This window comes from Homo sapiens, chromosome 1 (assembly GCF_000001405.40).
Source record: "Homo sapiens chromosome 1, GRCh38.p14 Primary Assembly".
NCBI classification, from domain to species: Eukaryota; Metazoa; Chordata; class Mammalia; order Primates; family Hominidae; genus Homo; species Homo sapiens.
This window is the reverse complement of record NC_000001.11, coordinates 225,023,222-225,038,365: the sequence shown is the minus strand read 5'-3', so window position 1 is coordinate 225,038,365 and position 15,144 is coordinate 225,023,222. Positions and strand designations below refer to the sequence as shown.

Sequence of the window (15,144 nt, the reverse complement as noted above, 5' to 3'; positions counted from 1 at the left end):
AAGCAGATTTAACCTAAAGAAGACTACCCCAAAGCACTTAATAATCAAACTCCCAAAGATCAAGACAGAGTGACACCCTGTCTCAAATACATAAATAAATAAATAAAGTACAGAAGAAAAACAAAACCGTTCAACCCTAGAATGGTACATCTGGCAAAAATGTCTTTCAAACACAAAGGAAAAATAAAAACCTTCCCAGACAAACAAAACCTGAGGGTTTTGCCAGACACTTATCATCAATACCAGATCTATCCTACAAGAAATGCTAAAGGAAGTGCTTCAATCTGAAAGAAAAAGAACACTGAAGAGCACTAAGAAATCATCTGAAGGCACAAAACTCACTGGTAACAGTAAGTACACATAAAAACACAGAATATTGGCCGGGCATGGTGGCTCATGCCTGTAATCCCAGCACTTTGGGAGGCCGAGGCGGGCAGATCAGATCACCTGAGGTCAGGAGTTGGGAGACCAGCCTGACCAACATGGAGAAACCCTGTCTCTACTAAAAATACAGAATCAGCCAGGCATGGTGGCACACGCCTGTAATCTCAGCTACTCGGGAGGCTGAGGCAGGAGAATTGCTTGAACCCAGGAGGCGGAGATTGTGGTGAGCCAAGATTGCACCATTGCACTCCAGCCTGGGCAATAAGAGTGAAACTCCGTCTCAGAAAACAAACAAACACAGAATATTATAACACTGTAACGGTGATGTGTAAACTATTCATATTTTAAGCAGAAAGATGAAGAACTGATCAAAAAGAACTACAATTTTTCAAGACACAGATTGTACAAATAAGATATAAAAAGAAACAATAAAAGTTAAGAAGCAAGGAGATTACGTATAGAGATTTTATAACTCTCCTTATCTTGTTTGTTTGTATGTTTGTTTATACAATCAACATTAAGTTGTCCTGAGGTTAAAATAATGGGTTATATTATTTACAAGACTCATAGTAACCTAAAATCTATAAACATACAACAGATACACAAAAAATAAGAAGCAAGAAATTAAAACATATCACCAGAGAAAATCACCTTCACTAAAAGGAAGACAGGAAGGAAGAAAAGAAGGAAGGGGCCACCACAAAAGAACCAAAAATAAACAAATAACAAAATGGCAGGAGTAAGTCCTTATTTAATAATAAGAATGGATGTAAATGGACCAAATTCTCTAATCAAAAGATATAGAGTGGCAGAATGAATGAAAAACCAAGAATCAACCTACTGTTGCCTACAAGAAACACTCTTCACCTTGACAAACACAGACTGAAAATAAAGCTACAAAAAAAGATATTCCATGCAAATGGAAACCATAAAAGAGGAGTAGTTATACTTTCATCAGACAACATAGATTATACAACAAAAAGTATAAAAAGAGACAAAGAGGGTCATTATATAATGATAAAGTGGTCAATTCAGCAAGAGGATAGAACACTTGTAAATATACATGTACCCAACACTGGAGCACACAGATATAAAAAGCAAGTATTATTGACAGAGCAGGAGCACTGTCATCTTGGACAAACACTGCCACTTTAAGTTCCAGCTCCCTTTCTAGCCTTATGCATTTCAAGGAAATCATTCTCTTCTAATTACAAGCAGCCAGAAAGAGCAGACAGTAAAACACAGACAAGACAGCTCAGGCACAGAGGGAAGTGAAGGGAAAGTCTCTTGGGTAACTGCCAAACTTCACCCTCATACAATGGACCCCAGTAAAACAGTAGGCCTTAATAAGCATATTCCTTTCCCTTCAGGTGCACTAAGATAGGGAACCTAAAAGCAGACTTGGAGGGTATGCCTGCAGCTGCAGAAAGATGTATGGGAACAGACACGCAACTCTCCCTCCCAGATAAGCACAACAAAGAGACACAGAAGCAGTCCAAACCTCTAATAAACTCTCCCACCCTGAATCCTTAAAAACTCTTAGTCTGGGCAGGGCGTGGTGGCTTAGGCCTGTAATCCCAGCACTTTGGGAGGCTTAGGTGGGTGGATCACGAGGTCAGGAGTTCGAGACCAGTCTGGCCAACATAGTGAAACCCCATGCCTACTAAAAATACAAAAAATTAGCCTGGTGTGGTGGTGTGTGCCTGTAATCCCAGCTATTTGGGAGGCTGAGGCAGGAGAATTGCGTGAACCTGGGAGGCGGAGGTTGCAGTGAGCCAAGATCTCGCCATTGCACTCCATCCCAGGTGAGAGTGTGGGACTCTATCTCAAAAACAAAACAAAACAAAAGAAAAAAAACCTCTTAGTCTGTAAGAGAGTGGGTCTCTGACCTAACTCAGACAGAAGGCTCCTCTCAGGTTTCTTTTCTTTAAAATAAACCTGTCTTGACTGGCGAGCCGCCTTTCATGTTTCTTTCCTCTTTCTTTAATTCTTACAATTATTAGATCTAAAGGGAAAGATAAACCCCAATACAATAATAGCTAGAGACTTCAACACCACACTTTCACCCTTGGACAGATCATCCAGACTGAAAATCAACAAACAAACCTCAGACTTAATATGCAGAAAAAACCAAATGGGCCTAATAGATATTTACAGAACATTTCATCCAATGACTAGATAATACACATTCTTCTAAGCACACAGATAATTCTCAAAGATAGACCATATGTCAGATCAAAAAAAGTCTTAAAACATTCAATAACATCAAAATAATATCAAGCATCTTCTCTGACCACAAACAAAACAAAACAAAACAAAACAAAAACCCTACAAATCAATCACAGAAGGAATTCTGGGAACTATACAAACACATGGAAATCAACCAACATAACATACCCAAACCTATGGGATACTGCAAAAGCAGTACTAACAGGGAAGTATATAGGTGTAAGTTTCTACCTCAAAAAAAAACAAAAAAAAACTTCAAATAAACAACCTAATGATACATCTTAAAGAATGAGAAAAGCAAGAGGAAACCAAATCCAAAGTTAGTAGAAGAAAAGAAACAATAAAGATCAGAGCAAGGAAACTACAGAAAAGATCAGTGAAACAAAGGGTTGGTTTTTGAAGATAAAGGAAACTGATAAACCTTTAGCCACATTAACTAAAAAAACAGAGAGAGCAAACACCCAAATAAATAAAATCAGAGATTAAAAAGGAGACATTACAACCGATACTGCAGAAATTCAAAGGATCAGTAGAGGCTATTATGAGCAACTATATGCCACAAATTGGAAACCCTAGAAAAAAGTGATCAATTGCTAGACACATACAACCTACCTGCCACTAAGCTAGCAGAAGACAAGAAATAACCAAAATCAGAGCCCAACAGAAGGAAATTGAGACACATGCACACACACAAAAAAAACATTTTAAAGATCAAAGAATCCAGGAGCTGTTGTTTTTGAAAAAATTAATAAAATAGAGAGGCTACTAGCTACACTAATCAAGAAGAAAAGAGAGATGATCCAAATAAGCACAATTAGAAACAATGAAGGGAATGTTACTACTGACCCCATAGAAATAAAAACAACCATCAGAAACTACTACAAACACCTCCGTGCACACAAACTAGAAAATCTAGAAGAGATGGATAAATTCTTAGACACATACGCCCTCACAAGACTGAGCCAGGAAGAAATTGATTCCCTGAACAGCCCAATAATGAGCTCTAAAATTGAATCAGTAATAACAGCCTACCAAGAAAAAAGCTCAGGACCTGATGAAATCACAGTCAAGTTCTAGCAGATGTACCAAGAAGAGCTAGTACCATTCCTACAGAAACTATGCTAAAACAATTGAGGAGGAAGAATTTCTCTCCCAAAATCATTCTATGAGGCCAGCATCATCTTGATACCAAAACCTGGCAGACACACACACACACACACACACACACACACACACAAATTCAAGCCAATATCCTTGATGAATATTGATGCAAAAATCCTCAACAAAATACCTGCAAACTGAATACAGCAGCACATCAAAAAATAATCCACTATGATCAAGTAGGCTTCATCCCCAGGATCCAAGGTTGGCTCAACATACACAAATCAATAAATGTGATTCATCACATAAACAGAACTAAAGACAAAAACTGTATGATTATCTCAACAGATGCAAAAAAGGCTTTCAATAAATTTCAATATCCTTCATGTTAAAAACTCTCAATAAACCAGGTGTTGAAGGAACATACCTCAAAATAATGAGTCATCTATGACAAACCCACAGCTAACATTATACTGAATGGGCAAAAGCTAGAAGCATCCCCCTTGAAAAACAGCAAAAGACAAGGATGTCCTCTCTCACCACTCCTATTCAACATAGTACTGGAAGTTCTGGCCAGAGCAATCAGGCAAGAGAAAGAAATAAAGTGCATCCAAATAGGAAGAGAGAAGTCAAACTATCTCTGTTTGCATACAACATGATTCTTTACCTATAGTTTCAGCCCCAAAGCTGCTCCTTCAGCTGATAAACAGCTTTAGCAAAGTTGCAGGATACAAAATCAATGTACAGAAATCACTAGCATTCCTATATACTAACAACAATCAAGCCAAGAGCCAAATTGTGAATGAATTCCCATTCACAATTGCCATAAAAAGAATAAAATACTTAGAAATACAGCTAACCAGGGAGGTGAAAGATCTCTACAAAGAGAATTACAAAACACTGCTCAAAAAATCAGAGAAGACACAGAGAAATAGAAAAACATCCCATGTTCATAGAATCAATATCATTAAAATGGCTATACTGATCAAAGCAATTTACAGATTCAATGCTATTCCTATCAAACTATCAATGACATTCTTCACAGAACTAGAAAAAATTATTTTAAAATTTATGTGGATCCAAAAAAGAGCCCAAATAGCCAAGGCAATCTGAAGCAAAAAGAATAAAGCTGGAAGAACCGCATCACCCAACTTCAAACTACACTACAAGGCTACAGTGACCAAAAGAGAATGGTACTGGTGCAAAAACAGGCACATAGACCAATGGAACAGAATAGAGAGCCCAGAAATGAGGCCCCATATCTATGACCATCTGATCTTTGACAAAGCTAACAAAAACAAGCAATGAGGGAAACACTCCCCATTCAATAAATGGTGCTGAGATAACTAGCTAGCCATATGCAGAAGATTGAAGCTGGACTCCTTCCTTACACCATATATAAACATCAATTCAAGATGGATTAAAGACTTAAATGCAAAACCCAAAACTATAAAAACCCTGGAAGACAACCTAGGCAGTACCATTCTGGACACAGGAATGGGCAAAGATTTAATGATGAAGACACAAAAAGCCATTGCAACAAAAGCAAAAATTGACAAACAGGATCTAATTAAACTTAAGAGCTTCTGCACAGGAAAAGAAACTATCAACAGAGTAAACAGACAACCTACATAATGGGGGAAAATATTTGCAAACTTTGTATCTGACAAAGGTCTAATATCCAGCATATATAAGGAACTTAAACAAATTTACAAGAAAAACACAACCCCACTAAAAAGTGGGCAAAGGACATGAACAAACACTTCTCAAAAGAAGACATACAGCAGCCAATAAGCATACGAAAAAGAGCTCAATATCACTGATCATTAGAAAAATGCAAATCAAAACCACAATAAGATACCATCTCACTCCAGTCAGAATGGTTATTATTAAAAAGTTAAAAAATAACGGATGCTGGTGAGGTTGCGGAGAAAAGGGAACCCTTATACACTGCTGGTGGGAGTGTAAATTAGTTCAACCATTGTGGAAAACAGTATGGCGATTACTCAAAGAGCTAAAAGGAGAACTACCATTCGACCCAGCAGTCCCGTTATTGAGTACATACCCAAAGGGATATAAAGCATTCTACCGTAAAGACACATGAACACCAATGTTCACTGCAGCACTGTTCACAATAGCAAAGATATGGAATCAACCTATATGCCCATCAATGACAGACTGGATAAAGAAAATGTGGTACATATACACCATGGAATACGATGCAGCCATATAAAAGAATGAGATCACGTGTTTTACAGGAACATGGATGGAGCTAGAGGTGATCATCCTTAGCAAACTAATGCAAGAACACAAAACCAAATACTGTATGTTCTCACTTATAAGTGGGAGCTAAATGATAAGAACTTATGAACACAAATAAGGAAACAACAGACACTGGGGTCTACTTGAGCCAGGAAGGTAGAAGGAGGGAGAGGGGCAGAAAAGATCATTATTGGGTATTGAGCTTAATACTTGGGTAATGTAATAATATGTACAACAAACCCCCATGACCCATGTTTATTTATGTAAAAACCTTCACATGTACCCCCAAACCTAAAATAAAAATTAAAAAAAAATTAAACTGAGAAGTCTTTCCAAAGAGTCTCACATTATCTAGAACTCTACACCCAGTGAAAATATCCTTTATAAATCATGGTGACATAAAGTTCCTTTTCAACAATTAAAAACCGAGGGAACTCTTTCCCAGCATTACTGCAACTGAAAGAAATACTAGATTGTTTTTCAGGAAGAAGGAAAATGACCCCACACAAACAGAAACAAGCAAAAGGAAACAACACAAGGAATGGTAATTATATGGATAAACATAAATGGATATTGACCATTCAAAACAATACTTTTAATGTCTTCTGGAGTTAAAATACATGAACAACTAAAAATGTATTTAAAATACAGTAAAAGAATGCTGTAAAAGGCAAGAGGAAAATAAATGGAGTTGAAGAAGCTAAAGTTTTAGCAGTACCATGGAAGTGATAAAAGTAACAAAAATAATTTGTATTAGCCTGTAAGAATAGCTGGTTTTAGATTAATCGATTTTTTTATTCTTTTAATATTTTTCCTTCTTTTAGCTTTTTAGACATCCTATCACTATCTTTTAGTGGTTACTCTAGAGCATGGGTCAGCAAAACCTTTTCTGTAAGGGGCCAGACAGGAAATATTTTACGTTTTGTGGACCATATGTGGTGGTCGGTCACAACAACTGAATTTTGCCTTTGTAGTGCAAAAGTTGCCACAGACAATGGGTAAACAAATGGGCGTGGCTATAGTCCAACAAAACTAATTTATAAAAACTGGCTGCCACAGGATTTGGCCTATGGGCTATATTTTGTTGACACTTGGTCTAAGTAGAAATTCTTAAATTGTCTACCAAAGAAAAGTTATTACAAATGATAAGTGAGCTTAGTAAGGTTACAGATACAAGGTCAATATGCAAAATCAACCGCATTTCTTTTACCAGCAATGAATAATTAGAAACTGTATTTAAAATATGGTACCATTTTTAATACCATCAAAATATGAAATAGGTAGTTTAAAACAAAAATGTGCAATATTTGCACACTGAGTTCTACAAAACACTGAAGAGATAAATCAAAGAAGATCTAAACAAAGGAAAAAGTCTACCATGTTCAGGGCTTTAAAAGACTGAATATTGTTAAGATGTCAATTCTCCCCAGATTGATCTATATATTCAATGCAATCTCAATCAAAATCTCAGTAGGCCTTTTGAATAAATCTGCTAGTTAATTATAAGATATATATGAAAAAGTAAATGAATTAAAATAGTTAAAACAATTTTGAAAAAGAAGAACAAAGCTGAAGAATACATACTACCTGATTTCAAGACTTATTATAAAATTATAGTTATGCAGACTGTGAGATATTGGTGGAAGGACAGATTCACAGATCACTGGACTAGAAAAAAGCATTCAGAAATAGACTCATGAATATATTTAATTAATCAATTTTCTACCAGATGTTAGGGTAATTGTCTGGAGGAAGATTAGTCTTTTCAACAAACTACTGGAGTGATTAAATACCAACATATAACAATATATACCTCAAACCACACCTGACACCATTTGCAAAAATTAACTCAAAAAGGATAACAGATATAATATCCAGAAGTATAAAACTTCTAAAAGAAAATATTGGAAAAATTCATCATGCTGTTGCATTAGGAAACAATGCTTTAGATCGGAAACCAAAAGCCCAAACCTTTAAAAGAAAAAACAGATAAATTGAACTTCATAAAAATTAAAAACTCTTGTTTATCAAAAGCCACTTAAGAAAATTAAGACAATTTATGGACTGGGATAAAATATTTGTAGAACACAGATATCATGTAGTTTTTACATGTATAAATTCCCTCTAAGCACTGCCTTTGCTGCCTATAGTAAGTTTTGTTATGTTGTGTTTTCATTTTCATTCATTTATAAAACTGTATTTTATTCTAATTTCCCTTGTGATTTCTGCTTTGACTCATTGGTTATTTAGGAGTATGTTATTTAATTTCCATATATTTGTGACCTTTCCCAAACTTTCTTCTGTTATTGATTTCTAATTCTAATTTATGTTGGTTGGAGAACATACTTTGTATTTTAATCATTTTAAGTTTATTGAGATCTGTTTTATCACCTAACATATGAAGACTTTTACTTTTTGAAACACTCTCCACTTGGTATCCATGGGTTGCAATGATGATTTAGGATTAGTTGATTTTATAACAAAATTTTTCAGAAACTTTTAGGATGGTAGAAAAGACATTTATTATTTATAGGTTTGACCAATCACATTATGTCTTATGCTATTTTCTTATCACTTTACTGTTGTCACACTGTCTTCTTCTCACTTTTTCAAATATGCTTCTTGTTCTGTAGGGTATATGATACACTTTTTAGGGATGACTTGACCACCCTTTCTTCTTGATTTCCTCATTAACTCCTATCAACGAAACTTCTCCCAGACCAGATTCAGTCTCACAATACCCCAAACTTCTTCTTTGTAGCATTTATTGTAATGTTAAATATATTTGTGTGGTCAGTAGATTAATATCTCTCCCTTCCTCTAGACTGTAAACTACATTAGAGCAAAAACTGTCTATTTTGCTCAGCATTGTATGTCCAGGATCTAACAAAGTATCTGACAAGTTACATGTGCTAAATAAATAATACTTTATTTTTAATGTCAGGTTTATTGAGGTATAATTTATATCCAGTAAAATTCATGCTTCTCAGGTATGCAGTTCTAATGAATTTTGACAATCACACACAGTTAACAACCACTACAATCACAATGACTAAATGTAGTACATTTCTGTCATCTAAAACATTGTATCAGGCCCCTTTATAGAAGGTTCCTCTCACCCCCACCTAGCCCATGGCAATCACTGACTTGATTTCTGCCCTTCCAGTTTTGGTTTGCCAAAATGTCATATAAATGGAATCATATAATATATAGTGTTTTGAGTCTGGCTTCCTTCACTTAACATTTGAGATTTATTCGTGTTGCATAAGTAAGTATAATATTTCACTCATTTTTATTGCTGAGAAGTACTGCATTTCATGGCTATCCACTTATAGATATTTAAATTATTTCCAGATTTGAACAATTATGAATAAAGCCATTATAAATATTTACATATGGTTTTTCTCCATAGAAAAATGTTTTCTGCTTTTTGCGGTAAATGGCTAGGAGGAGGCTTGCTACATTATAGGGTAAGTTTATGTTTATCTTTATAAGAAATTGCCCAATTGTTATCCAGAGCATCTGTATCCTTTTGCATTCCCACCAGCCATGTACTAGAGTTCCAGTTGCTCCTCATCCTCATGAGCACTTTGTATTGTTGGTATTGTTTTAGCCATTCTAGTAGGTATGTAAAAGTGTCTCATTGTGATTTTAATTTGTATTTCTTTAATGTCTAATGATTTATAGCATCTTTAAAACATTTATTTGCAATCTGTTTCTTCTTTGATGAAATGTCTGCTTAGATCTTTCACCCATTTTAAAATTAACTTGTTTGGGATTTTTTTTAATTGACAAGAAAATCAATAAAACCAAAAGCTGGTTTTTAAAAAGATCAACAAAATTAACAAATGTTTAACTAGACTAAGAAAATAAGAGAAAAGCCTCAAATTACTAAAATCTGTAATGATAGAGAAGATATCATTATTGACCTTACAGAAATCAAAACAATTATAAGTGAATACTATAAACAACTGTATACCAACAGTTTAAATAAGTTAGATAAAATGGACAAAATCCTAGAAAGACATAAATTACCAAAACTGTATCAAGAATAAATAGAAAATCTAAACAAATCTATAACAAGTAAAGAGATTTAATTAGTAATTTTAATACATCCCACACACACACAAAAGCTGAGGCCCAGACTTCACAGATGAATCTTTTAAACATTTCAGGAAGAATTAACACCGATCCTTCATAAAATTTTCAGAAGATAGGTGGTAATAATGCTACCCAATTCATTCTATGAGGTGAGTCTTATCCTGAATCCAAAACCAGACAAACACATCACAAGAAAACTACAGACCAATGTCCTTTACGAATATAGATGTGAACATTTTCAACAAAATAATACCAGACTGAATCCAGCAGCATATACAAAGGATAATAAACTAAAATTAAGTGGGATTTATCCCAAGAATGCAAGATTGGTTCCATTTATGAAAATGTATGTATGTAATGTAATATGCTACATTAATAAAGTAAAAGACATACGGTCATCTCAACAGACAGAAAAAAAAAAGCATTTGACAAAATCCAACACTATTTCATGACAAAAACATTCAAGAAAGATAGATGGTGATATGGTTTGGATTTGTGTCTTCAACCAAATCTCATGCCGAATTGTAATTCCCAGTGTTGAAGGAGGGGTCTGGTGGAAGGTGACTGGATTAAGGGGAAAGATTTCCTCTGTGCTGTTTTCATGATAGTAAGTTCTCATGAGACCTGGTTGTTTTAAAGAGTGTATAGCACCTCCCCCTACATCTCTTCCTCCTGATCCAGCCATGTAAAACATGCCTGCTTCCCTCTTCACCTTCTGCCATTATTGTAAGTTTCCTGAGGCCTCCCAGACATGCTTCCTGTATAGACTGTGGAACCATGAGCCAATCAGACCTCTTCTCATTATAAATTACCTAGTCTCAGGTAGTTTTTTATGACAATATGACAACAAACTAATACAGACAGGAACTTCCTCAACTTGATAGGAAGCATCTGTGAAAAACCCACAGGCACATCATACTTAATGATGAAAGACTGTATGTTTTCCTCCTGAGCTCTGGAACAAGACAGGGATGTTCGCTTTCACCATTCCTAATCAACACTGTATTGAAGTACTTACTAGCCAGAGGAATTAGGCAATAAAAAGAAATAAAAGGTATCAGATTGGTAAAGAAGTAAAATTATCCTATTTGCAGATGACATGATTTTGCATAAAGAAAATCCTAAACAATTAGTTGTAAAAACCTATCAGGGATAATAAAAAAAGTTCAACAAAGTAGCAGGACATAAGATCAATAAACAAAAATCATTTGTATTTCAATATGCTGGCAATGAACAACCGAAAAATAAAATTTAAAAATAATTCCATTCACAACAGCATAAAAAATGATAAAATACTTACAAAAAATTTTACCAAAAAAAATGCATGATTCATACACTGAAAACCACAAAATATTGAAAGAAATTAAAGAATGCCTACATAAATGGAAAGACAGACCATGTTCATGGACTGGAAGACTATACTATTAGAATGAAAATACTCCTCATATTTATCTCCAGTTTTAATGCTGCCTCTATCAAAATTCTAGCTGAATATTTGCAGAAATTGTCAAGCTGATTCTAAAATTCATATGAAAATGCAAGGGACCCACAATAGCCAAAACAATGTTGAAAAAGAAGAGCAATGTTAGAAAATTCCCAATTCCTAATTTCAAAACTTACTACAAAGCTATAGTAATCAAGACAGTATGGTACTGGCATAAGGACAGACATGGAGCAATGAAATGAAATTGAGGGTCTGAAAATAAACCCACACATTTTTGGTCAGCTGATTGTCAACGAGGGTGCCAAGACAATTCAATAGAGAAAGAAATAGTGTTATTCTTTTCAACAAATAGTACTGGGACAACTGGATATTCGTATACAAAAGAAGAAATTTGGACCCTATCTCATACCATCTACAAAAATTAACTCAAAATGCATCAAAGCCTAAATGCAAGAGCTAAAGTTATAAGATCTTAGATAAAAACAAGAGTAAATCTTCAAGACTTTGGATTAGGCAATGATTTCTTAGATACACTTAAAGCACAATCAATCAAATACAAGTTAAATTAAATAAAAATAAAATTAAAAATTAAATAAAAATTAGAAATTAAAAACTTTTTTACTCCAAAGGATACTATTAAAAAAAGAAAAGAAGACCCACAGAATCTAATAAATAAAGAACTCTTAGAACTCAGCAATCAAAAGACAAATAACTTAGTTGGGCATGATAGCATGAACCTGTAGTCCCAGCTATGTGGGAGGCTGAGGTGAGAGTATCGCTTGAGCCCAGGAGTTCAAGACAAGTCTGAGAAACACAAGACCCCATCTAAATTAATTAATTAATTAACTAACACAATTTAAAAATGAACAAAGAGTTTGAATAGATATTTCCTCAAAGAACATATATAAATGGCCAAAAAGCACATGCAAAGATGTTCAATATCATTAGTCATTATGGAAATATTATACTAATCAATATTGTTAAGAGGTCAGTGGAAACAGATTCAACAATGATTGATGCTTTTTATCAGACATTTACTGTGTTTATTCTCAAACAACATTATGGCATAGGTATTACTGTTATCTTCATTTTATAGATGAGAAAATTGAAGTCTAAAGAATTTATTTATTTATATATTTAGTGATCACTGCAGTCTCAACCTCCTGGGCTCAAGTGATCCTCCCACCTCAGCCTCCCGAGGAGCTGGGACTACAGGCATGCAGCATCATGCCTGGCTAGTTTTCTTAGTTTTGATGTTGTTGTTGTTGTTGTTTTTGTAGAGATGGGGTTTCGCTTTGTTGCCCAGACTGGTCTTGAACTCCTGGACTCAAGTGATCCTCCCACCTCAGCCTCCCAAAGTGTTGGGATTACAGGTGTGAACCACCATGCCCAGCCAAATTTATTCAACCTCTGTTGGGTTAATAGCTCAACTAAGTAAAACTAGCAAGAGTCAAATCAGAGATTAAAACCCATGTGGTCTGACTCCACAAAACATATATATATATATATATTTGAGATAAGATCTCACTCTGTTGACCAGGCTGGAGTGGAGTGGCATGATCACAGCTCACTGAAGCCTCAACCTCCCAGGCTCAAGTGATCCTCCCACATCAGCCTCCCAAGTAGGTGTGTGCCAGTGCCATCGTGCACAGCTAATTTTTGTATTTTTTGTGGAGACAGGGTCTCGCCATGTTGCCTAGGCTGATCTTAAACTCCTGGACTCAAGTAATACATCCTCATTGGTCTCCCAAAGTGTTGTGATTACAGGTGTGAGCCACTGTGCCTGACCTATATATATTATTCCTGTAACATAAAAAATGCATACAGGAGACATTGTGTTTAAAAAACGAGCTATAAATTAGTATACTAGGATTACAACAATGGAAAAACATTTAGGAAAAGACTACAAAAATCATATAAAAATGATAAGATGTTGTAATTCAGTGACAGAATTAAGGGTGATATTTGTTTTCCAAATTTGCTATAATATGATGAATTAATTATAATAATATCTTTCAAAAACTATGTTAAGAATATAAAGACCTTTCCTAAACACACACACGCAATGTTTTAAAGGAAATAAAATTATAATGCACTATCACTAAATAGTTGTGTTCTTACATAGGTTAGAATCCTGGCACTGACTCAAACCAGTTATAAGTCCTTAGGTAAGTGATGTTAGCTCTGTAGATTCAGTAATAATTAGAAAAACAAAATATTATCTTGAATAATCTTCAAAATTTTTTGAATTGATATATTTTCAGCTACCTAGTTATAAAACTTTAATTAGCCTAAAATATTATTAAATTTTGATAAATAGAAATTAAAGTATGCCAACATTTCAATTCATAGTCCTGTTTACCAGCTACAAAGTATGCCATCATTTCAATTAATATTCCTGTTTCACCAGTTACAGTAGATATATCCAGTTGTGGAAAATAAGAAAAATGCTTTGTTTTTAACAGTAGTGTTTAGAAGGTAAAAATGTTTTTCAGATAGTTTTTTCATTGGGAAAATATTCAACAGATATTTCTTGGAATTGACTCAAATTCCAATTGGACTTTGTAGCTCCTTCCAGAATTCTCACATATCTTTAAAAACTAACTCTGAACCTGGAAGACAGAGTATACTTAGGCACAGAATTGCCAGATATAACAAATAAAAAATATATTTGCTAAATTATCAGAGAAATCTGAATTTCAGATAAACAATAATTTTAACATAGGTAATACTTGAAGTATACTAAAATTATTTACCATTTATGTGAAATTCAAATTTTACTGCGCATCCTATAGCACCGATATTAAGTAAGGTATTACCAAATAATAAGTTCTGTTAATAGCAAAAATGAGTACATGTACTCTGCCACAAGGAGAATTTTCAAACTCTAGCTTAAATTATTGAATATTTCCTCCATATGTGGCAATGTTAAAATATTATAATTGTAAGTTACTTTTTGACTTCAAAAAAGTAATTTACCTGATAAGATTTTCATTCTTTTTTTCCACTGAAAATGGCATTCCAGCAGAACCATTAAATAATTCCAAAAGTAGTGTGACTGCAGTGTTCATAAGTTGACGAATGAGTTCCTGAAATATGTAGTCAACCAGCATTACAAACTTGAAAAATGTTTCTAATAAACGTCTATATTTAGGCAGCTTGAAATGTGTTGTGTCATCTTCAGAGAGTTTTGACTCAAAATACTCTTTGATTTCATTCTTTTCTGCAACCTACAATTTAAAAAACAATTGAGAAACAAGTATTGATTTTCTTTGTTAATATAGCATGATTTCTAGTTTAGTTTTTTTTATCAACTTCAATTAGATGTGAATGTTAAGAATTGATATTTTAATACCTCAAGCAAAAAATGATTTAAAGGGTAGGCCTAAAAAGCAACAGATAAATTAAAATAGAATTCTAAAAATTATTTAAGTAATACTAAAGAAGCCAGAAGAGGAAGGACAGAGGAAAAAAAAAAAAGACAGAGGAGACTAACCAAAAACAAATAATAGTAGATCTAAATTTAACAATATGAAAATTACATTGTGTTTTTACTTGTTCGTTTTGTTTTTATTTGTTTCTTTGTTTTTTCTTCTACTTTTATTTTAGGTTCTGAGGGTACA

General features: G+C 34.2%; 1 protein-coding gene across 22 annotated transcripts in view; it reads right to left on the bottom strand.

The window, feature by feature from the left end:
* Window positions 1–15,144, bottom strand: part of DNAH14 (dynein axonemal heavy chain 14) — a 469,633-nt gene that overhangs the window by 360,921 nt on the left and 93,568 nt on the right. For 18 of the 22 annotated variants that reach the window (XM_011544062.3, XM_011544067.3, XM_017000296.2 and 15 more), the window contains exon 11: window positions 14,501–14,751. The exons of 2 other annotated variants lie outside the window; for them this stretch is intronic. In XM_011544062.3, the coding sequence (XP_011542364.1) occupies window positions 14,501–14,751 (251 nt within the window). Of the gene's footprint in view, window positions 1–13,761; window positions 14,752–15,144 lie in introns of those variants that run through there. 2 more of the 22 variants (NM_001145154.3, NM_001349911.2) reach the window with 1 other exon arrangement.